Source organism: Homo sapiens, chromosome 11 (assembly GCF_000001405.40).
Source record: "Homo sapiens chromosome 11, GRCh38.p14 Primary Assembly".
In the NCBI taxonomy this organism is placed as follows: domain Eukaryota; kingdom Metazoa; phylum Chordata; class Mammalia; order Primates; family Hominidae; genus Homo; species Homo sapiens.
In genome coordinates, this window is record NC_000011.10 from 93,898,565 (window position 1) to 93,922,014 (window position 23,450).

General features: G+C 39.7%; 1 pseudogene, besides 1 other annotated feature; it reads right to left on the minus strand.

The window, feature by feature from the left end:
* Positions 1–23,450, minus strand: part of LOC101060084 (uncharacterized) — a 103,851-nt pseudogene that overhangs the window by 34,569 nt on the left and 45,832 nt on the right.
* Positions 9,733–9,918: a silencer, noted in NCBI's record as "fragment chr11:93641463-93641648 (GRCh37/hg19 assembly coordinates)". NCBI's record gives its function as "represses an EF-1alpha promoter that drives an FKBP-Casp9 reporter gene in an ReSE screen in HepG2 liver carcinoma cells {active_cell/tissue: HepG2}" and the evidence as "EXISTENCE:reporter gene assay evidence [ECO:0000049][PMID:32094911]".

Sequence of the window (23,450 nt, forward strand, 5' to 3'; positions counted from 1 at the left end):
AGTTCGCTTGGTCCAGAGCTGAGTTCAAGTCCTGAATATCCTTGTTAATTTTCTGTCTCATTGATCTGTCTAATATGGACAGTGGGGTGTTAAAGTCTCCCACTATTATTGTGTGGGAGTGTAAGTCTCTTTGTGGTTCTTTAAGAACTTGCTTCATGAATATGAGTGTTCCTGTATTGGGTGCATATATATTTAGGATAGTTAGCTCTTCTTGTTGCATTGATCCCTTTATCATTATGTATTACCCTTCTTTGTCTTTTTTGATCTTTGTTGGTTTAAAGTCTGTTTTATCAGAGAATACTATAAACACCTCTCTGCAAATAAACTAGAAAATCTAGAAGACATGGATAAATTCCTGGACACATATACCCTCCCAAAACTAAACCAGGAAGAAGTCAAATCCCTGAATAGACCAGTAACAAGTTCTGAAATTGAGGCAGTAATTAATAGCCTACCAACCAAAAAAAAAAAAAAAAAAAAAGCCCAGGATCAGATGGATTCACAGTCAAATTCTACCAGAGTTACAAACAAGAGCTGGTACCATTCCTTCTGAAACCATTCCAAACAATGGAAAAAGAGAGACTCCTTCCTAACTCATTTTATGAGGCCAGCATCATCCTGATACCAAAATCTGGCAGAGACACAACAACAACAACAAAAATTTCAGGCCAATATCCCTGATGAACATCAATGTGGAAATCCTCAATAAAATATTGGCAAACTGAATCCAGCAGCACATCAAAAAGCTTATGCCCCATGATCAAGTTGGCTTTATCCCTGGGATGCAAGGCTGGTTCAGCATACACAAATCAATAATCGTAATCCATCACACAAACAGAACTAATGAGAAAAACCACATGATTATCTCAATAGATGCAGAAAAGGCCTTCGATAAAATTCAACACCCCTTCATGCTAAAAACTCTCAATAAACTAGGTATCGATGGAACATATCTGGAAATAAAAAGAGCTATTTATGACAAACCCACAGCCAATATCATACTGAATGGGCAAAAGCTGGAAGCATTCCCTTTGAAAATCGCCACAAGACAAGGATGCCCTCTCTCACCACTCCTATTCAACATTGTATTGGAAGTTCTGGCCAGGGCAATCAGGCAAGAGAAAGAAATAAAGGGTATTCAAATAGGAACAGAGAAAGTCAAATTGTCTCTGCTTGCAGATGACATGATTGTGTATTTAGAAAACCCCACTGTCTCAGCCCAAAATCTCCTTAAACTCATAAGCAACTTCAGCAAAGTCTCAGAATACAAAATCGATGTGCAAAAATCACAAGCATTCCTATACACTAATAATAGACAAACAGAGAGCCAAATCATGAGTGAACTCCCATTCACAATTGTTACATAGAGAATAAAATACCTGGGAATCCAACTTACAAGGGATGTGAAGGACCTCTTCAAAGAGAATTACAAACCACTGCTCAAGGAAATAAGAGAGGACACAAACAAATTGTAAAACATTCCATGCTCATGGATAGGAAGAATCAATATCATGAAAATGGCCATACTTCCCAAAGTAATTTATAGATTCAATGCTATCCCCATCAAGCTACCATTGACTTTTTTCACAGAATTAGAAAAAAACTACTTTAAAGTTCATATGGAGCCAAAAAAGAGCCCATATAGCAAGGACAATTCTAAGCAAAAAGAACAAAGCTGGAGGCATCATGCTACCTTACTTCAAACTATACTGCAAGGCTACAGTAACCAAAACAGCATGGTACTGGTACCAAAACAGAGATATAGACCAATGGAACAGAACAGAGGCCTCAGAAATAACACCACGCATCTACAACTATCTGATCTTTGACAAACCTGACAAAAACAAGCAATGGGGAAAGGATTCCCTATTTAATAAATAGTGTTGGGAAAACTGGCTAGCCATATGCAGAAAACTGAAACTGGACCCCTTCCTAACACCTTATACAAAAATTAACTCAAGATGGATTAAAGACTTAAACAAGAGACCTAAAACCATAAAAACCCTAGAGGAAAACCTAGGCAATACCATTCAGGACATAGGCATGGGCAAAGACTTCATGAATAAAACACCAAAAGCAATGGCAACAAAAGCCAAAAATAGACAAATGGGATCTGATTAAACTAAAGAGCTTCTGCACAGCAAAAGAAACTAGCATCAGAGTGAACAGGCAACCTTCAGAATGGGAGAAAATTTTTGCAATATATCCATCTGACAAAGGGCTAATATCCAGAATCTACAAAGAACTTAAGCAAATTTACAAGAAAAAAACAACCCCATCAAAAAGTGGGCAAAGGATATGAACAGACACTTCTCAAAAGAAGACATTTATATGGCCAACAAACATATGGAAAAAGCTCATCATCACTAGTCATCAGAGAAATGCAAATAAAAACCACAATGAGATACCATCTCATGCCAGTTAGAATGGCAATCATTAAAAAGTCAGGAAACAACAGATGCTGGAGAGGATATGGAGAAATAGGAATGCTTTTACACCGTTGGTGGGAGTGTAAATTAGCTCAACCTTTGTGGAAGACAGTGTGGCGATTTCTCAAGGATCTAGAACCAGAAATACCATTCAAACCAGCAATCCCATTACTGGGTATATACCCACATTATTATAAATCATTCCACTGTAAAGACACATGCACACGTATGTTTATTGCAGCATCGTTCAGAATAGCAAAGACTTGGAAGCAACCCAAATGCCCATCAATGATAGACTGGATAAAGAAAATGTGGCACATATACACCATGGAATGCTATGCAGCCATAAAAAAGGATGAGTTCATGTCCTTTGTAGGAACATGGATGAAGCTGGAAACCATCATTCTCAGGAAATTATCACAGGAACAGAAAACCAAACACCGCATGTTCTCACTCATAGGTGGGAGCTGAACAATGAGGACACATGGACACAGGGAGGGGAACATTACACACTGGGGCCTGCCAGGGGATGGGGGGCTAGGGGACGGATAACATTAGGAGAAAGATCTAATGTAGATGATGGGTTGACGGGTGCAGCAAACCACCATGTCATGTGTATACCTATGTAACAAACCTGTACATTCTGCACATGTATTCCAGGACTTAAAGTATAATAAAAAAAGAAAAAAAGTTAAAAATAGAACCACTGTATAATCCAACAATTCCACACTGGACATATACCACCCCCCAAAAATTGAAAGCAGGGTCTTGAAGATATATTTGTATATCTTTGTTCATTGCAGTATTATTCACAATAGCCAAAGGGTGGAAGCAATCCAAGTGTTCATCAATGATTGAACGGATAAACAAAAATGTGGTATGTATATATAAATATATGTAAATACACACAGAAGCACACACACATTTGCACACACACATGCGCACACAATGGAATTAATAAGCATTGAAAGACAACAATGTATTATTCAGCCTTAAAAAGGAAGGAAATGTGACACATGCTACAACATGGATAAAACTTGAGGGCATTTTGCTAAGTGAACTAGGCTAGAAACAAAAAGACAAATACTGTATGATTCCACTTATGTGAAATACCTAGAGTAGTCAAATTCATAGAGGCAGAAAGTAGAATGGCAGCTGCCAGGGGCTGTGGAGATGAAGGAATGAGTTGTTATTTAATGGGTACAGAGTTTCAGTTTTGCCAGATGAAAAGAGGTCTGGAGATGGCACAGCAGGGTGAATGTACTTAGCACTACTGAACTGTAAGGGCTTTACACTTAAAACTGGCTGAAATGATAAGCATAGTTTTATGTTATATGTGTTTTACCACAATTGAAGAAAAGAATTTCAAATTAAAGATAATTTGAAAAAATAGTTTAATGGACATTTATATGCCCTTCCACTGGATTCATCAATTATTTTGTGTTATCCACTCCCAAATATTTTTATTTGTTGCTAAAACATTGGAATGCAAGTTGTAAATATCATGGCACTTTCCCTTTAAGTACTATAGCTGGTATCTCCCCCAGACAGGGATATTCTGCATAATCTACATCACATTCAAGACATTTAATACTGGCGTGTGTGTAATAACAGTAGTATTATCTAATCTATAATCCATGTTTAGAATTTCCCAGTTTTTCCAATAATAATCTTTGTACTTTTTTTTGTTGGATCAATTTTAGTTAAGTGATTTTTTTGACAAGTATTTATTGAGTACCTTATGTGTACTAGGCACTGTTCTATTTTTCACTGTTTACCAGTGAATAAGATTGGTAAAAATCCCTGCCTTCATGTCTAGCTTATATTCTAGAGCTATAGAGAGAGACAGAGAGTGGCTCAGGAGACAGTAGAGAGTAGAGGAAGACAGCAAACAAAATACATGAGGAAATGGTATGTGGGACTAAATACATGAAGTACCATGGTGAGAGAGAAGAACATGGCTGGCAAAGGGATTGGGGTACATGAAAAGGCAGGAGGAAGCTGAAGTTTTAAATAGGTGGTCATGTGCCAGGCGAGATGCCTGAGCATAGGCATGGAGAGGCCAGGGAGCAACCAATGTCTATTGGGGCAAGAACTTGCAGGCAGAGGAAACAGAAGGATGAACGCCCTGAGGCGGGAGCAGAGCTTGCATGAGTAAGACTGGCAAAAAGGCTGATATGGGGAAGAGCGGGAGGGAAGGTCAGAATGCAGGGGCCAGGCTTAGAGGCGAGTGGGGCTCTGGTTTTCACTCCTAGTGAAATGGAAGCCTTTGGAGGGTTCCCAGCAGAAGAGGAAAATGGTCCAACATACATACCAAAAATAAATATATTTATTTATTTATTATATATATATTTATATAGAATATATTTTTATTTTATATATTTATTATATATACATATACAGTATTATACATTTTATAATATATATTACAATTCTCTGCTTTGGGCTAATGTATATTTATATAATATTTGTATGTAATATAAATATATATTTATACTTTATATAATATAAACATATATATGAACATATTTATATTATATAAATATAAGAGAGAGAGAGAGTCTTGTTCTGTTGCCCAGGCTGGAGTGCAGTGGGGCAATCTCAGCTCACTGCAACCTCTGTCTCCTGGGTTCAAGCGATTCTCCTGTCCAGCTGAGTAGCTGGGACTACAGGTGCACGCCACCACGCCCAGCTATAAATTTCCATCTGTATTCCAGATTCTGACTTCTGGGCTCCAGTACCCAAAGTCCAGCGGACATCTTCACATCTACACCTGGGTGCTCTGCAGGCACCTCAAAGTGAACAGTGCCAACTGAATCAGCATCTCTGCTGCACCCTGCACCTGCACCTCCTCCTGGGCTTCCTATTCTGAAAATACAGACTTAATTGCGTATTTCCACAGCTCACCACTCTCCACCGATGCCCCTGTATAAAATTCCTTATCTTGGCTCTTGCCACTCACTCCTCCTCATGCATACTGGTGTCAACTGTAAAGGACTCGGTGGAGTTCCTCCCACCCAGGCTGTCTCTCACCTCTGGAAAGCTGGACCTTTGCCTATTGTTACCTCAGATACAATGTTTTCTTTCCCCATGAAGAGCCTGACCTACTCATGCTCTTCTCCCGAAGCTTCCAAGACAAGCTTAGTGCCTCTGCTAGGTGCTCCTGTGGTGTGAGTGACAGGAACAAAAGGCAAGAGCAAAGGGGGAGCCACAGAGAGATGTGCATGCTCATCACAGGGAGGAGCTGCTGTGCAGGTAATCTGTTTGCTCAGACTGACTTTGGGAACCATGTCAGTGACTCTCCTGAAATGAACACCTTGGAGAGACCCAGGCAGCTGGGTCATACGTCCCAGGCAGCTGGGGCAGACGGGTCCGAAACGTCCTGTTGATCACTGGCCACATGAATCCTAAGGGGCAATGCCCCAATTAATGAGAAGATCCTGCCTTCATGCTCTCTCTCAACAGGCCACTTTCTGTTTTTAAGAGCCTGGGCTAAGAGTGATCAATTCCATTAGCCCTTAGAGGTGGCATCACAAAAGCATCTTTGGTTCTCTCTCAAAGCCCGATCCTTCAGAGAGGAGGGCACCCAAGAATAGGGTAATCTCAGTCCTGACCCGGGACAGGAATTGCTTCCTTTGCCACTGGTTTATGTGTGACCCCAAATAATTCACTCCTACTCGCCCTGTAGGCCTTTATTCACTTGTAAAATGGGTATAATAATTTTTATCTACCTCAGAGGTGCACTGGGAGGTATAATTAATGGTGGTTAAAGCACTTTGAGAGGCACAGATGAAAGGCCTTCTATAAACACACATCATTATTATGATTAATGGTATTTTTCTTCTTCGAACACACTGGGAGGCAGCCCTTTTGGCTTAAGTCCTTTAATCACCTCTCAGCTCCTCAATCACACAAGAGACATTACAGCCTCCAGGCTGGCCACACAGTAAACCTTTAAAGCCCTGAAAATGTACAGCCATCCTGAAAGTGATTTTAATCTCTGTCTTACCCCTCTCTTTTGACATTCTTCCAAAATGATCTGACTTGAAAAGTGGCAGTTTTTATATATTATGAATAATCTGTTTAATTCGAAGCATTTCACCAGTTTTGAAGGGAGGGGAGAACAGTGTTCATCATCATTAATTAATATGTACTGACTATCCCCAGCACCAGCTCTTGCTTTTCCCAGACCACAGAGAAAACCCAGACATCTGTGTATCAGTGCGGGACTGATTTCCCAAGGTAGAACCAAAGTGACTCATTTTGGGGCAAAGCTAAGACCCAACTGGGTCCTGAGGTTCCTGAGAGCCCAGATCCCTGCTCCTGAAAAGGGACCTGATTTGTGGTTCCCATTCAGACCCCTCCAGCTCATCTCACAGAGTGCAGTGTTTAGTGCAGGCTTTGATTATGAGTGATGACCCACATGGCTTCCCAGGTGGAGCCTGCCAGAGGGACGTGTCAGCCTGGGCTGCCCTCCTGGAGGCTCATTCCCACCTGCTTCTTATCTATGTGGCCTTGGGCAGGTTACACAACCACTCTGTACTCCCTGAGGACAACACATGTCCCTTATAAAAAGAGAGAATGTGTAAAATTCCATCATGCCTGGCATGTAATAGGTCCTCTACACATTTTCCCTCCCTTTCCCCACAGAGGGCCTGAAGAAAGCTGTATCCACTTTTATAAAGCTGCTGGAAAATGTCCAGCTTGCCTGACCACAAGACAGGCTTCCCAGGGAGGATGCGTCCTGTTGCTGCCTCATCCGTCCAAGGGCATGACTATATATTGTGAAGTGGGGCAGATGTACCTCCCAACCCAGTAATCCAGTACTCAAGTTGGGAAGACCTGGGGCAGCTCCTGCGGTGGCCCTCCAACCCTCTGATTCCAGAATTTTCCAACCACTGTTCAGTGTTCATGACACTAATAGAAATGGAAGGCATAAAAATTAGCCAGGAGGTAGTGGTGCATGCTCATAGTCCCAGCTACTCGGGAGGCTGAGCGGGGAGGATCACTTGAGCCCAGCAGTTTGAGGCTGCAGTGAGCTATGATCATGCTACTGCACTCCAGGCTGGGCTGGAGCAAGACCTCATCTCCAAAAAAATAGAAAAGAAAGAAAGAAGAAAGCATAAAAGAGCTCAGGAATGGTGGGAATCAGCAATGTGTTGTGTAAATATCTGGAGTTTATTTATATGCGTGCACTCAGAAATGGACTTCACATCTGTATCCACAAAGACATATCAGGTGGCATCAGATACATCTGTATCCCAATTCATTATTGGGAGGATTGCTTTGTTCTTTTTCTTGATCAGAACATCCCTTGGAGTATGGAGGTCAGTTCTGGATACCATACTTTGAGAGGGATATAGACAAAACTGGAGAGAGTTGGAGCTGATGCTCAACTGGTGAAAGGAATCACAGAGCTGAGAGCTCATGGGAAGACTTGGGGAAGACAGGAACACTGTCTTTAAGTATTTGAAGGTAACTGGAAGATGGATTAGACCCAGGGGTCAAAGTAGGAGGCTGCAGAGAGAAAGATCTTGGCTCATTGGAAGGAAGACATTTTTAACTCTCTGGGCTGCCCGATGTGGAATGGACAGCCTTGGGGATGGATTCCCATGAAGTAATGTCAGATAAACAAGGCAGGGATGGTGACTGCGGGATATAGACACTGAGAAGGTATGTTGACTTAAATCCTAACATCTCTTTCAACTCTCCAAAATGTATGATTTATGATTCTGGAATCTGTCTAAATTAACAAGGCATGTATAGAACATATGGCAGCTTTCTATTAATCAGAATGTTTGCTTAATGAAACAGTCCTTGGCATTGCTTGTAATGAAGGGTTTTTTGTACCTTTTAAAGTTCTGAGTACATAAACTTCTGCTTGTACTAAATACTGCTAAACATGTGAGCTTGAGCTTTTGTATTTAGCTATTCTCCCAGGTCCTACAGAGTTGGTAAGTGGGCCACGTTGCAAACTCTTTTTAGCAATTCCACACTCCCCTTGACCACCTTGGTCACTGTAGGCAGGAGCTGCTGAAAGAGTTTGAACAAATTACATGATTTACTGATGCAGGCAACACACCTTGGAGGGAATTCACAGACCCTTTGGGAAATGCTCTAGAAGCAGGTACACCCAGCAAGCCACAAGCTAGTGGAGGCCCGAGGTTAGATGTGGGTGACATTGGATGGAGGCTATCTTGTCCACTGTAAGGTCTAACCAGCCTTCAAGGCTAAGGTACACACACCTCAGAAGTGAAGAGAGGGGTCCCATGCAAGAGAGTATCATGGTTAGAGATGTTATTCTGGAATCAGATTCCTTGGCAAATGACTTAACTTCTTTGCATGTCAGTTTCCTGATCTGTGAAATAAAGACAATAGTATTAGTACTTGGCTTATGGGATTTTTGTGAGGATTAAAGGAACTGATAGGGATGTTCCAATGTCTTAGTGTAGTTTTAAGCCATATGCCCTTCAGAAGGATAAACACACAAACTTAGAAAAAACATCATTTTAAATGAAATCAATTGAATGTAATTAAAGCACTTTAGAAAAGAGCCTAGTCCATAGTGCGATTCACACTTTAGGAAACTCTTGTGTGCTGAGAAGCCAGTCCTGAAATCTCGCAAAGGGAAGGTGTTCACTAGATAGTGTCAAGATAGTAGAAAGGAGAAAGACAGAGAAAGGATACAGAAAGGAGAAAAGAAAGATAGAGAAAGGAGATAATAAAACTAGGTTCCTGCTGGGCGCGGTTGCTCACGCCTGTAATCCCAGCACTTTGGGAGGCCAAGACGGGCGAATCACCTGAGGTCAGGAATTCGAGATGAGCCTGGCCAACATGGTGAAACCTCATCTCTACTAAAAAATACAAAAAATTAGCCGGAAGTACTTGCTGGAACCCAGGAGGCGGAGGTTAGTGAGCCAAGATTGTGCCATTGCACTCCAGACAGGGTGACAGAATGAGACTCTGAAAAAAAAAGAAAGAAAGAAAGAAAGAAAACTAGTTTCCTAGAAGTTGCTTTCAGGCAGCATTTTTTGTACTTCTCTTAAGCCAGTGGTCCTCAAACTCGAGTGTGTATCAGAGTCTCTTGGAGGGCTTATTAAAACCAGATTGTGAGGTCCAACTCCAGTGTGTCTGACTCAGTAGGGCTGAGGAGAGGCCCCTGAATTTGCCTTTCTAACAAGTTCCCAGGTGAAGTGATTGCTGATGGACTGGGGACTACATTTTGAGACCAACTGTTTTTGGGGAACAAATGGAGGAAGCTGGTCTGGTCTTCCACTCATCCTATCTTCTCTGGGGAGGGAGAAGATCAGGAGGCTGGGCCAGAGCAGGCTCTTCTCCACGCACAGGCAGGCTGTGGGTAGGCGATAACATAGGGCAAGAAACTCCCGAAGGCATGAGGCACCAATGTGGATGGCTAGTGGGAGCAAGCAACCCAGGGCCCCAGAGGTGGACCTAGCAGCAAAGATGGTGACCCTCCAAGGCAGGTTCTGGCAACACGTCTGAGAACATGCAGTTGTGATGGTTGATCTTATGGTCTAGCGAGGCCATGATACCTAGATCTTTGGTCAAACATTATTTTAGATGTTTCAATGAAGGTCTTTTTTCTTGTTGTTGTTGAGATGAGACTACCATTTGAATCAGTAGATTGCATAATGCAGATTACCTTGCATGATGTGGGTAGGCCTCATGCAATCAGTGGAAGGCCTTCAGAGAAAAAGGCATGTCCCCAGAAGAAGAGGGAATTCTGCCAGTGAACTGCCTTTGGACTTGAACCACAACTCTTCTCAGAGTCTCCAGCCTGCTGGCCTATATCATCAGATTGTGGGCTCGCTGTACCTCCACAACTGCATGAGCCAGTTCCTTAAAACAAATCTTTCTGTCCATATATAGCATCCTGTTCATTCTGCTTCTCTGGAGCACCCTGACTAATGCTATACTCCTTGGGATGTGGCCACTGGCATCTTAGGAATGCACATGAAATAACACGTGGTGTTATTTAAACTGATCTCACTTGGTGTGGGTCAAAGAAAAGAAGCTGGTGTTGTGGGGGCCACATCTCTAATGACAAAGGGACAGGCACCAGTTTGGTGTTTTTCTAACAAGTGATGCACTTTTTTATTTTTATTTTGGGATACTTACTCAGCACTTTCAGCTTCAAAGTGCTCTGCAAGAAGTAATTAAAATATCCTTACAACAGAGCAAGGAGGCAGTGGGTGTTATTACCATTTAATGTCTGGTAAGACTGAGGTGGTAAATTTGTGACACCTTTGAAGATGTGGATGGAGACCAAACCCTGGACTCCCTGACACCTAAGTCTGTGTCTCCTATCAGGCCTTGCTTCTTCTGAAGAAAGTTGCAGCATCAAAATTCTTCTTCTTTTTTTTTTTTTTTGAGACAGGGTCTCACTCTGCTGCCCAGGCTGGAGTGCAGTGGCACAGTCATAGCTCGCTACAACCTCAGCCTCCCCAGGTTCAGATGATCCTTCCACTTCAGCCTCCTAAGTAGCTGGGACTACAAGGATGAGCCACCACACCTGACTAATTTTTGTATTTTTGGTAGAGATGGGGTTTTGCCATATTGCCCAGGCTGGTCTCCAATTCCTGGGCTCAAGTGACCTCCCAAAATGCTGGGATTACAGGAGTGAGCCACCACACCTGGCCAGGAGATATTGGAAATACTCTGCATATATTACCTCATTCAGTTCTTCCAACAACCCCGTGTAGCAGATGAGATTATCAGTCACACTTCACAGACAACAAACTAAAACTCAAGAGGTTAAAACATTTTTTCAAGGTAGCACAGCTGGGAAGAGAGTGCTGGGGTTTGAACTCAGGTCTTATTTGCTCTAAATCCCATACCTGTACCACCACACTCTAATGCTTTAGATGAATACTGAGAATCCATTGGGGAGCTTCAAGGCCAATGATTCGGAGGATTAGAGATTTTGAGCACTCTTAGATTGTAATCAACACAAGGGCAAGGACCTGAGCTGGCTTGCTCACTATTGCCCAGTGCTTAGCACAGAGTCTAATGCCCACAGGCACTCGGTAAATATTTATTACATAAATGAATGAATGGAAGACTGCTTTGGAAACTTCCTGGAAAAATGCATCGAGAATAAATAAGGCAGCTTTTTCTAATTTTTAAAAAAGTTGCAAATATTTTGGTGCTCCAAGAATGAGGGAAGCCCCAAAGACATCCATGCAGGTCTACTGTAAAAATTCACACAGCCCATTTCAGTCCTCCTCTGGCCCATCTGCAAGCTTCAACCCAAATGATCTCTTCCTAAACTGAATACCAGTTTTAAAAGGATAAGAAGGGTGTTTATTGGGTTATCAACAAAGGAGAGATTGGCCAGCTTCTGTTTGCCCACCCTAGTCCTTGGGTAGAAGGCTGTTACGGGTTTTTTCATGCTTCCCTTTGCATTGGATGTGGTTTATGGGGGACTCGGTGTTAGTGGATTTTCCTGGAGAGTATTTTTTTTGGATAGGTTAGCATATTTTATCTCCCAGGAAAACTGGAGAAAGAGTATTGAGATTCAATTTGTCATGCTAACAGGATGAAATGATATGTACTATGATAGCACAGTCTATGACAAGGACCTGAACTCTTTTTATAGTGTTTCTCCCCAATTTCTGTTCATCAAAGCAGAATCACCTCTGCCCTCACCCACTTCCCCAGCTTGTAACCTGCGAATCCAGAGGCTTCTCTCTCGTTGCCTTATTCCTTCCTAAGAGCCAGGTAGCCTACCTGTTACTCATTCAGCTACATTCTCTCACTAGGTGGGGCTGACTTGAATAAAATTATTTTTGATTAATAGTGTATTTTAATTAAAGATACATTTTACTTATTTTAATTTTAATTTTTAAATTTTTTAAATTTTTTGGGATGGAGTGCAGTGGTATGATCTTGGCTCACTGCAACCTCCGCCTACTGGGTTCAAGCAATTCTCCTGCCTCAGCTTCCCGTGTAGCTGGGATTACAGGCGCATGTCACAATGCCTGACTAATTTTTGAATTTTTAGTAGAAACAGGGTTTCACCATGTTGGCCAGGCTGGTCTGGTACTTCTGACCTCAAGTGATCCTCCTGCCTCAGCCTCCCAAAGTGCTGGGATTACAGGTGTGAGCCACTGTGCCTGGCCTAAAGACACATTTTAAATTAATGAATATTTATTGTGGTAAAATATACATAAAATTTACCATTTTAACTATTTTAAGTATGCAATTCAGTAACATGAATTATATTCACATTGTTGTACAAACATTACCGCCATCTATCTCCCAAAATTTTTCATCATCCCAAATTGAAACTCTGTACCTATTAAATGGCAACTCCCCATTGCCTTCCTTCCCCAGGCCTTGGTAATCACTATTCTACTTTATGTCTCTATGAATTTGTCTTTTAGTTAATTTTTTATCTCTCTTATCTTTAGTTTTGAATGGCTACTAGTAAGTGCCAAGCCTGGGTGAATGGTTATAAAGATCGTCCATGCTCTGGGGAGATGGGACGCCTTTTTCTGTTATCCAGGAGGGAAGATTGGGTTCAGATGACAGAAGATGGAAGAGAGAAAATAAGATGCACTGAGTAACCTCTCTGAGTTAGGCCTCGGCACACACTCTCCTACAAAGGATCTAGTGTCATATATAAGGGGCTGAGGAGGAACTTAGAATGGCAGTGTGACTTGCCCAAGGTTGAAAGTACAGAGCTGGGATTTGAACTCGTGTCTGACTCCTAGTCCAGTGCTTTTCCTTTCCTCCCCCCATCCCCCACAATAACAGTTTTATTGCATAGCAGAAAATGCATTCTTTAAAATATACATTGCAGAGCTGAGCTTTGTGGTTTGTGCCTGTGATCCCAGCTATTCAGGTGGCTGAGGCAGGAGGATCACTTGAGCCTTAGAATTCAAGGCTGTGGTGAGCTATGATTGGGCTACTGCACTCCAACAACAGAGCAGACCCTGTCTCTAAAAAAAGTGAAAATGAAAAAGGATACAATTCAGTAGTTTTTAGTGTATTAATAATTTTATGCAACTATTATCACTAACTTTAGAATATTTTCCTCACCCTAAAAAAAACCCCATACTTGTTAGCAATCAATCTCCATCCCCCGAGCATCTGGCAACCTTTCTTTCTTTTTCTTTTCTTTTCTTTTCTTTCTTTCTTTCTTTCTTTCTTTCTTTCTTTCTTTCTTTCTTTCTTTCTTTCTTTCTTTCTTTTTCCTTCCTTCCTTCCTTCCTTCCTTCCTTCCTTCCTTCCTTCCTTCCTTCTTTCTTTCCTTTTCTTTTCTTTCTTTCTTTCTTTCGAGTGCTTTACTCCCTTTTATTGCTGAATAATATTTTATTGTATGAATATATCACATTTAAAAATGTATTCATCAATTGATGAACATTTGAGTTGTTTCTGCTTTTTGGCTATTAAGAATAATGCTTCTATGAACATTTGTGTACAAGTTCCTGTGTAAACATATGTTTTTATTTATCTTGCATAGATACCTAGGAGTGGAATTGCCACTTTTATTTTGAGAAACTTCCAAACTGTTTTTCAAAGTTTTCCATCAGCAGTGTGTGAAAGTCCCGATTTCTCTGAATTCTTGCTAACATTTGTCATTGTCTGTCATTTTGATTTTAGCCATCCTGGAGGATATGAAGTATTATCTCATTGCAGTTGTGATTTTTATTTCCCTAATGGTTGATGATATTGAGCATCTTTTAATATGGTAACTGGCCACTTGTATATCTTTTTTTTTTTTTTTTGAGAGAAATGTCTATTTCCTTTGCATTTTTAAAAATTGGATTATTTGTCTTTTTATTGTTGTAAGAGTTAAAGAACTGTATTTGATTTCTGGTTACAAATTCCTTATCAGATATATGATTTGCAAATATTTTCTCCCATTCTGGGGCTTGTCCTTTCACTTTCTTGACAGTGTCCTTGGAAGCACAAAATTGTTCAATTTTGATGAAGTATAATTTATTTACTTTTTCTTTTGTTGCTTGTGCTTTTGGTCCCTTATGTAGGGAGACCATTGCCTAATCCAAGGTTACAAATATTTGCTTCTATACTTTCGTCTAAAACTTCCTAGTTTTAGCTCTTACATTTAGGTCTATAATTCCTTTTGATTTAATTTTTGTATATTATGTGAGATAGGGTTCCAGGTTCATTTTTTCTCTTACAGTCATCTAGTTGTTCCAGCACCTTTCATTGAAAAATATATTCTTTTCTCATTGAATTGTCTTGGCACCCTTGTCAAAATTAATTGGCTATACAGTAAATATAAGAGTTTATTTCTGAATTGTCAATTCTATTCCATTAATCTGTGTGTGTATCCTTACGCCAAGTTATTATAATTTTGTAGTAAGTTTTAAAATTAGAAAGTGTGAGTCATCCAAGCTTGTTTTTCTTTTTCAAGATCATTTGGGGTATTCTGGGTTCCTTGTATTTTCATGTTAATTTTAGGACCAGCCTGCTAATTTCTGCAAAAAAGACAGGTGAGATTTTGATAGGGATAGTGTGGGATCTGTTAATTGATTTGGATAGCATTATCATTTTAACATTATTAAGTCTTCCAATCCATGAGCATGGGATATCTTTCCATTTATTTAGGCCTTTAATTATTATTGTTTGCTCAGGATGGTTTGGCTACTCTGGGTCTTTTGTGGTTCATATACATTTTAGGATTATTTTTTCTATTTCTTTGAAGTATGTCATTAGTATTTTTATAGGCATTGCATTGAATCTATTGATTGCTTTGGGTAGTATGAACATTTTAACAATATTGATTTTTCAAATCCCTGAACACAGAATATCTTTCTATTTGTTTGTGTCTTCTTCAATTTGTTGCATCAGTGCTTTCTAGTTTTCTTTGTGGAAATCTTTCACTTTTTAATCTCATTTGTAGCTATTGTAAATGGGATTATTTTCTTTTTCAGACTGTTTGCTATTGGCATATAGAAATTCTACTGGTTTTTGTATGTTGATTTTGTATCCTGCAAATTTACTGAATTTGTTTATCAGTTCTAATGTTTTTTTGGTGGAATCTTTAGGTTTTTCCAGATATAAGATAATATTGTCTGCAAACAAGGATAATTTACTTCTTCCTTTCTGATTTGGGTGCTCTTTCTTTCTCTTGCCTGATTGCTCTAGCTAGGACTTCCAGTATTATGTTGAATAACTGTGTTGAAAGTGGACATTCTTGTCGTGTTCCATATCTTAGAGGAAAAGCTTTCAGTTTTTCCCCATTTAGTATACTAGCTGTGGGTCTGTTGTATATGGCTTTTTTTGTGTTGAGGTATGTTTCTTCTATACACAGTTTTTTTGAGGGTTTTTATCATGAAGCAATGTTGAATTTTATCAAATGCTTTTCCAGCCTCAATTGAAGCGATCACGTTTTTTTGTCCTTTATTTTGTTGATATAATGTATCAAATTAGTTGATTTACATGTGTTGAACCACTCTTGCATTCCTGGAATAAATCCCACTTGGTCATGATGAATGATCTTTTTAATGTGTTGCTGAATTTGGTTTGCTAGTATTTCGTTGAGAATTTTTGCATCAATATTCATAGGGGATATTGGCCCATAGGTTTTCTTTTTTTCTGATGTGTCTTTGTTTGGTTTTGGTATCAGGGTAATACCGGCCCCATAGAATGAGCTTGGAAGTGTTCTCTTCTCTATTTTTCAGGACAATTTGAGTAGAATTCATATTAGTTCTTCTTTAAATGTTTGGTAAAATTCAGCATTGAAGTTATTAGGTCCTGGGTTTTTCTTTGCTGGGAGACTTTTTATTATGGCTTTGATTTCATCACTTGTTTATTAGTCTATTCAGGTTTTGGATTTCTTCATGGTTCAATCTTTGTACGATATGTGGATCTAGAAATTTATCTATTTCTTCTACGTTTTCCAATTTATTGGCACATAGTTGTTCACATTTTTTCTGATTATGTCTTTAAGGATTCTTTGAATTTTGCAGTATTGGTTGTAATGTCTTCTTTTTCATCTTTAATTTTATTTATTTGAGATTTCTCTCTTTTTTTCTTGGTCTGGCTAAAGTTTGTTGATTTTATTTATCTTTTCAAAAAACAACTTCTTGTTCTGTTGACGTTTTGTGTGTTTTTTTTGTTTCACTTTTATTTATTTGAGCTCTGATTTTTATTATTTCTTTTCTTTTACTAATTTTGGGTTTAATTTGTTCTTGCTTTTCTAGTTCTTTAAGATGCATCATTAGGTTGTTTTTTTGAAGTTTTTCTATTTTTTTTAAAGTAGATGCTTATTGCTATAAACTTTCCTTAGTACTACTTTAACTGTAACCCATAGATTTTGGTATGTTGTGTTTCCATTTTCATTTGTTTCAAGAAATTTTTTGATTTTCTTCTTAATTTCTTCATTGACCCACTGGTTATTCAGGAGCATATTGTTTAATTACTATGTATTTGTATAGTTTCCAATGTTCCTCTTGTTATTGATTTCTAGTATTATTCCACTGTGGTCAGAGAAGATACATGATATGATTTCAATTTTTAAAAAATTTCTTAAGACTTGTTTTGTGGCCTAACATAGGGTCTATCCTTGAGAATTATCCATATGCTGAGGAGAAGACTGTGTATTCTGTAGCTGCTGGATGAAATGTTCTGCAAATATCTATTAGGTCCCTTTGGTTTATAGTGGAGATTAAGCCCAATGTGTCTTTGTTGATTTTCTGTCTGGAAGAGCTGTACAATGCTGAAAGTGGGGTGATGGGGTCTCCAGCTATTATGTTTTGGGGTCTATCTCTCTCTTTAGCTGTAATAATATTTGTTTTATAGATCTGGCTGCTCCAGTGTTGGGTGAATATATAGCTATAATTGTTGTATCCTCTTGCTGAATTGACCACTTTGTCATTATATAATAATCAACTTTTTCTCTTTTTATAGTTTTTGTCTTGAAATCTAATTTTTCTGATACAAGTATAGCTACTTCTGCTATATTTTGGTTTTCATTTGCATGGAATATCTTTTTTCCATCCCTTTGTTTTCAGCCTATGTGTTTCTTTATAGGTGAAGTGTATTTCTTAAGCAACATATCATTAGGTCTTGTTTTTTTTTTAAATCTGTTTAGACTCTCTGTCTTTTGATTGAAAAGTTTTGTCTATTTGTATTCAGTATCATTATTGATAAATAAAGACTACTCCTGCCATTTTGTTTTTTGTTTTCTGGTTGTTTTGTGGTCTTCTCTTTCTTCTGTGGGCCTATAATTTTTTAAACAATATTTTGTAGTTTTCGGTGTATGATTCTTGTACTTCTTTTGTTAAATTTATCCCTAAGTGTTTCATCCTTTAGAATACTATTATAAATGAAATTGCTTTCTTAATTGTATTTTTGATTGCCCATTGCTAGAGTATAGAAATACAATTTTAAAATGTATTTTCTTGTATCCTACAATCTTGCTGAATTCAGTTAATAGTTCTAACAGTTTATTAAGGGATTACTTGGAATTTTCTATGGACAAGATAATGTCAACTGCAAATAAAGATAATTTTACTTCTTCCTTTCTAATCTGGAAGACTTTATTTCTTTTGCTTGCCTAATTGCCTTGGTTAGAACCACTTGTGCAATGTTGAATAGAAGTGGTAAAAATGGCTATCCTTGTCCTCTTCCTGACCTTAGGGGGATAGCATTCAGTCTTTTCACCATTAAGCAAGTTGTTAACCATGGGTTTTTGATAGATGCCCTTTATCAAGTTGAGGAAGTTCCCTTTATTTCTAGTTTGTTGAATATTTTTTATAATAGAAGGATATTGGATTTTGTCAGATGCCTTTTCTCTATCCACTGAGATGACCATGTGTTTCTTCTTTTATTCCATTAATATGGTATATTACAGTGATTGATTTCTGGATGTTAAACCAACCCTGCATTCCTGGGATAAGTTCCATTTGGTTATGGTATATAACCCTTTTTATGTAGTTCTAGACTTGGCCAGTGCTTTTTCACCAGCCACAGCTACATCTCATAGACTCTTTCCCAAAGCAAATCTCCTGTGGTGGTACTAGATCATATCTCTGATCTAAAAACTGCTAAGTGGCAAATGATAACGAAAAACTGAACACTATTCAGCTGGATTCCTCAGGAGGCCCCAGAAGCTTGATGAGACCAGCCACAAAAGTGGCTCAGGGGAAGCACTGAGATGCTGCTGCTATTTCTCTTCCAGTGTGTAAGAGAGCCATGTTCATGAATTGCATTTGAGTTTAGTGAGCCAGTGTTCCAAATCTCCTATATCAATCCTATTTTCAAATTTCTGTAGTCTGAAATCAGACTACATGCCCTGTTTTTTAGCCTAGAAAACAGGTTCTCTGTTTGTCATTGTAGCCAGGCTGTCTAGATCTCAAGCCCAAATCACAGCAACATTCTGTAATGTGGATCATTATCCATGCTATGACTTGGGGAAGGGTCTAGCTTAAAGCAGATTCCCCCACTTCAGACTCTCAATTTTTCTACCTGGTTCTGCTTATCTGTTTTGTTTGCTTTTTAAATAATACAAATAATTCAAGAGAAAAGACTCAGAAACCAAAGGGATAAAAATTTATTATAGCCAATTTCTGCTGCATATTAATGACTCCAATTATAGCACACGGCCAAAGATACATCTGCAGTAAAGGGGGAAAAAGTCAGGAAATCATCTTGGAGCAAAATAATAGATAAAATCACAGCTGAAATGTGGTTTTAGGTTTGGAATTAAGTCAGTCGACTTCTCTGAGTTCATGGCTTTCCGTAGTAAACACCATCATTATGTATTGGTCTTATTTGCTAGATAAAGGAAGGAGGATAAAAATCCTGAGTTCTCTGTAAAAATTTACGGGTTTGGGGGCTGTCATATATCAGCCCTGACACCTTATCTCTCCGCTTCAAGTGTCCAAGAGGCTGGTGTTATGTGGCAGGTTTTATTTATCTTTCTAATGAGTTTGATGACAGCTTCACATTTGGGCACAAAATGGTGGTTTGAGTCTACTTTTCCCAACAGTCCGAGATGTTCCTGCACCAGTTCTAGAGGAAAACCTCCAAATGGCTAAGGATGTCCAGAACCTGCTATGCTCAGGAATAAAAGGTGCTCTCCCAAAGGCTTCCCCAGAGGTAGTGCAATGTGGGAGGGAGGGTAGGCAAAAGTGGAGTTTCAAGTTCTCAGTCTCTTACGAGGTGGTCCCCTGGGGAGATTTACTTGAATTGGAGACTGGACCTCTGTTTCCTTCTCTCTAAAATTGAATTTACCTCCTGGGTTGCTGTGATGATTAAGTTAATGTCTGTGAGGCATTTATCAAGCATGTGAGCACACAGGAGGTGCTCAATACATGCTGATTTTATTCCTTTTTTCCTTCATTTGAGTCAAAAACACACTCTGCAGCCACTGATCCAGAGAAGAGTCAACAGAGTGGTGGCTGTGGGGTTGTAGCCATGAAACCAAGCAGGGCCACGTGAAGAGGTTCAGAGCATGGACTCTGGCACCAGAAAGCCTGAATTTTAATCCTGCCTCTACTACTTACTAGCTATGTGGCTTAGTGAAGGTCAGCTTACCTCTCTGAGCCTCAATTTTCTCATTTTAATGAAATGAATGACAATAGTATTTCAGAGTCAGGTGTGTCTTTGCTTGCTGTCTCTCTAGTACTTACATATGAAGGTTCCAGCTTCCTGCCCATGATGACGGAGCCTTCCAATCTTTTGCCTTCCCCACCTCTGTGTTGCCTGGAGTGCTCTTTGCACTCTTCTCCTGGGATGACTGGACTGTGGCCAGGTTGAGATGGTGACCACAAGCTCCCTTCACTGTGGCACAGTTACCCATTCTGTACATTCTGTGGTGGTTGTCAGCATGGGATCTTGGGTCAGTTACACCTCCATGAAGTCTAGGCTATCATTTACAGCTGGTGACCTTGGTAAATGATATTATCTCTAAATCTTCATTTTCTCACCTATAAAAAGGGAACAATAATATCTAATACTTGCTTCATGGGCTTGTGGTGAGCTTTAATATTGGAAAATATTTATTGAGCTTTTAATCGGTGCTTGGCATTATGTTATGTGCTTTATAGGAATTTCTTCATTGGATTCTCACACCAACTCCATGATATTGATACTAATATTATGATTTTCATTATACAGATGAGGAAACTGATGCTCCAAGGTCACATAGTTATTATATGACACCCACATCTTTCTGACTCCAGAGGTAGCCTCTCAGCCCTGTAATGAGAAGGCATGTGCAAGCACTAAGAACAAAGTAAACACTCATGATAAGCTATTACCCATGATAAATATAATACATGGAGTGTGGTAGGGTTGATACTTCTTCAGCTTTGGGGGATAACCAAATGCCCTGAGGATGGAAGCCAGAGACTGCCTCAGTCCCTCCCACTCTCTCTTGCTGAATATGCTCTCCTAGTGATCATCCTGTACTCCTCGGATATTCACCAAGAGAGAAGGCCACCCTGCAGCCATATAGCTGCTTTTTCATAAGGAACGTACCTGGCTAGCTCCCCGAGGGCTGAATAAAAGAAGCAAATGAGTAAAGCAAAATGGTCAGTTAATTGGGCTCTATTCGAGAGGTAATTGTGTGAGAATGAACTGGAAGAGACAGAGGTAGAGACCAGTTTATGGCCAATGTTGGATTTTCTAACCACTGACTATGGAATGGGTTGGGCCTAATGAGTGTTTGCAAAGGTTCTTTGAAATCCCTGAGATAAAAGGCTATGCTCTATTTCTTAAGGAGTTTTACTAGTTCTCATTGATCTGTTTGTCTACTATTGGAGATGGAGGGCAATTAAATAATTTGTGCACATCAGACATGTAATACGCCTCTTTGTATCCTCACTGCCTAATTCAGTGTTCCCTCTGTATAATGGAGCTCTTTAAATGTCTGTTTTCATTAATGGAGGTGAGGAGGGCTCTGATCTGGTTTTCTTTATTGGCTCTGATGTTCTTCATTCAGACAATCCCTTCTTCTAACTACTGGATATGTAATTATGAGGTGCCATGCATGTTTACATGGGGAGTGGTGGGAGGATGGAGGGTGGTGAAATGGAGAGGAATGAAGCACTCTTCTTTTACTTCTTTTGCATGTCAGTCAGAGTGTAGAAGGGTCAATGCGTAGGAGCTCCTAGCATTAAGGATATGAGTGTATGTGTTTGTGAAAGTGTAATGAATACCAAATGTAGAGCAACAACAAAATGTCCAACTCTAAGAAAATCAGAATTTATTGCTACAGTGAAAGTTGTCCGGGAGGGCCAGTGAATTTTAGCTAGGCGTTTGGGCCAGAGTTTTATTCTCAAGAAACCAGGTCTGGGAATGGTTACTGCACCTCTGAGGCAATGCCTAGAGGCTTGTATGTGTCTCTCAGAAGTCATGGTGCTTGCTCACCCAAGATTTGCCTCAGGTTAGACCAATTATAATTTTTTTTTTCTGTTTCCACTGGCCGAGAAATGTCATTGTTGATAGAAAAACCCCTGTATGTTCCAGGCCATCATTTCTGGCAGTTCTTGGGTTTTCTTGGTGAAAGAGTCATGAACATGGTGAATCTCTCCATTATCCTTAGTTTGCCCATTGAGTTGCCAGACTGCCCCAGCATTTCCTCCTTGGAGCATTTCAGATAAGGGGCTATCTGTGTTCCCTCAGGTGAGGAGGCTAAGATGGTTTGATGTAATGATGTGGGGCTGCAGGTGATCTGTCTGCCTGCTTGGGGAAGAGTATGAAATAGTTTCTGAATTTTTCCCAGATCTATAGCACTAGCCATTCTGATAAGCTAATTCATACAAAGGTCAGCCTCGTGTGATGGGTAGAGCTTTGGATTTTGAATCGGAAGATTTGGGTTTGAGTGCTTGCTTGTATGTGATTACATACAAAACTGTGCATCGACTGACAACCTCTCTGAATCTTGCCTTTTTTGCTTAGTGACATAAGTACATTGATATCTCACTATTTCTACATGAGTTGTTTTGGGGATCAGTTGGATAATGAATGTGAATGGTAGGGGGCCATATGGAGGAAGGGATTTATAAAAAGTGCTGGGATATAGTTACAGGTCTAACCAACATGCCAGGTAATGTCTGCATTTTAATTAAGCTTTCTAAAGACCATACTCTTCCTTTATTGTCATGCTCAGATGAAACTCCATTTCAGGTCACTCTCAAGTAACATAGCTAAGAACTCAGGGCCTAAAATAACATGTGGCATAGAATAAGCAATCGAACATTGGTTGACTGGATGACAGAATGATTGGGTGTGTAATGGAATGTGATTAAGTATACACCTACTGGATATTGTGGGGAGGATTTATTTACTGGGCATAAAAAGGGTACCTATAGATACAGAATTTGGATGCCATAAAGAATAAACAAAGGAAGCTCTAGGTTGCTCAGTAGAGAGTTTTTTAAAATGCTGCATTGCTTATTACAGATTATAAATTCAGTATTGTCTCTAGTAATTTCAAAATAATTGAGTGTGTCAATTATTAAACTCTTGGTTGCCAGCTTCAATGATTAAACTCTTGGTTCCCAGCTTTCTTTCTTTTTTTTTTTTTTCTTTTTTTTTTTTTTTTGAGACAGTCTCGCTCTGTTGCCCAGGCTGGAGTGCAGTGGCGCAATCTCGGCTCACTGCAACCTCCGCCTCCTGGGTTCAAGCGATTCTCATGCCTCAGCCTCCCGAGTAGCTGGGACTACAGGCGTGTGCCACCACGCCCGGCTAATTTTTTTGTATTTTTAGTAGAGACGGAGTTTCACTGTGTTAGCCAGGATGGTCTCGATTTCCTGACCTCGTGATCCACCCGCCTCAGCCTCTCAAAATGCTGGGTTCTCAGCTTTCTATACTTGGGCTTTGGGGCTGGGACGCTGCAAATCACCTTTCTCCTTTACCAACTGCTCACTCGTTGACTCTGCCAGTAGAGGGTGCTAGAGGAAGGCTGGAGGAAGAGAAAGAAACATGACTCTTCTCATTGGCTTATTGTGCCTCTCAGATACCCCAGCAATGCTTCTTCACCTTGGCAGGGCCAGTTTGTTTCAGTGGCATCAGCTG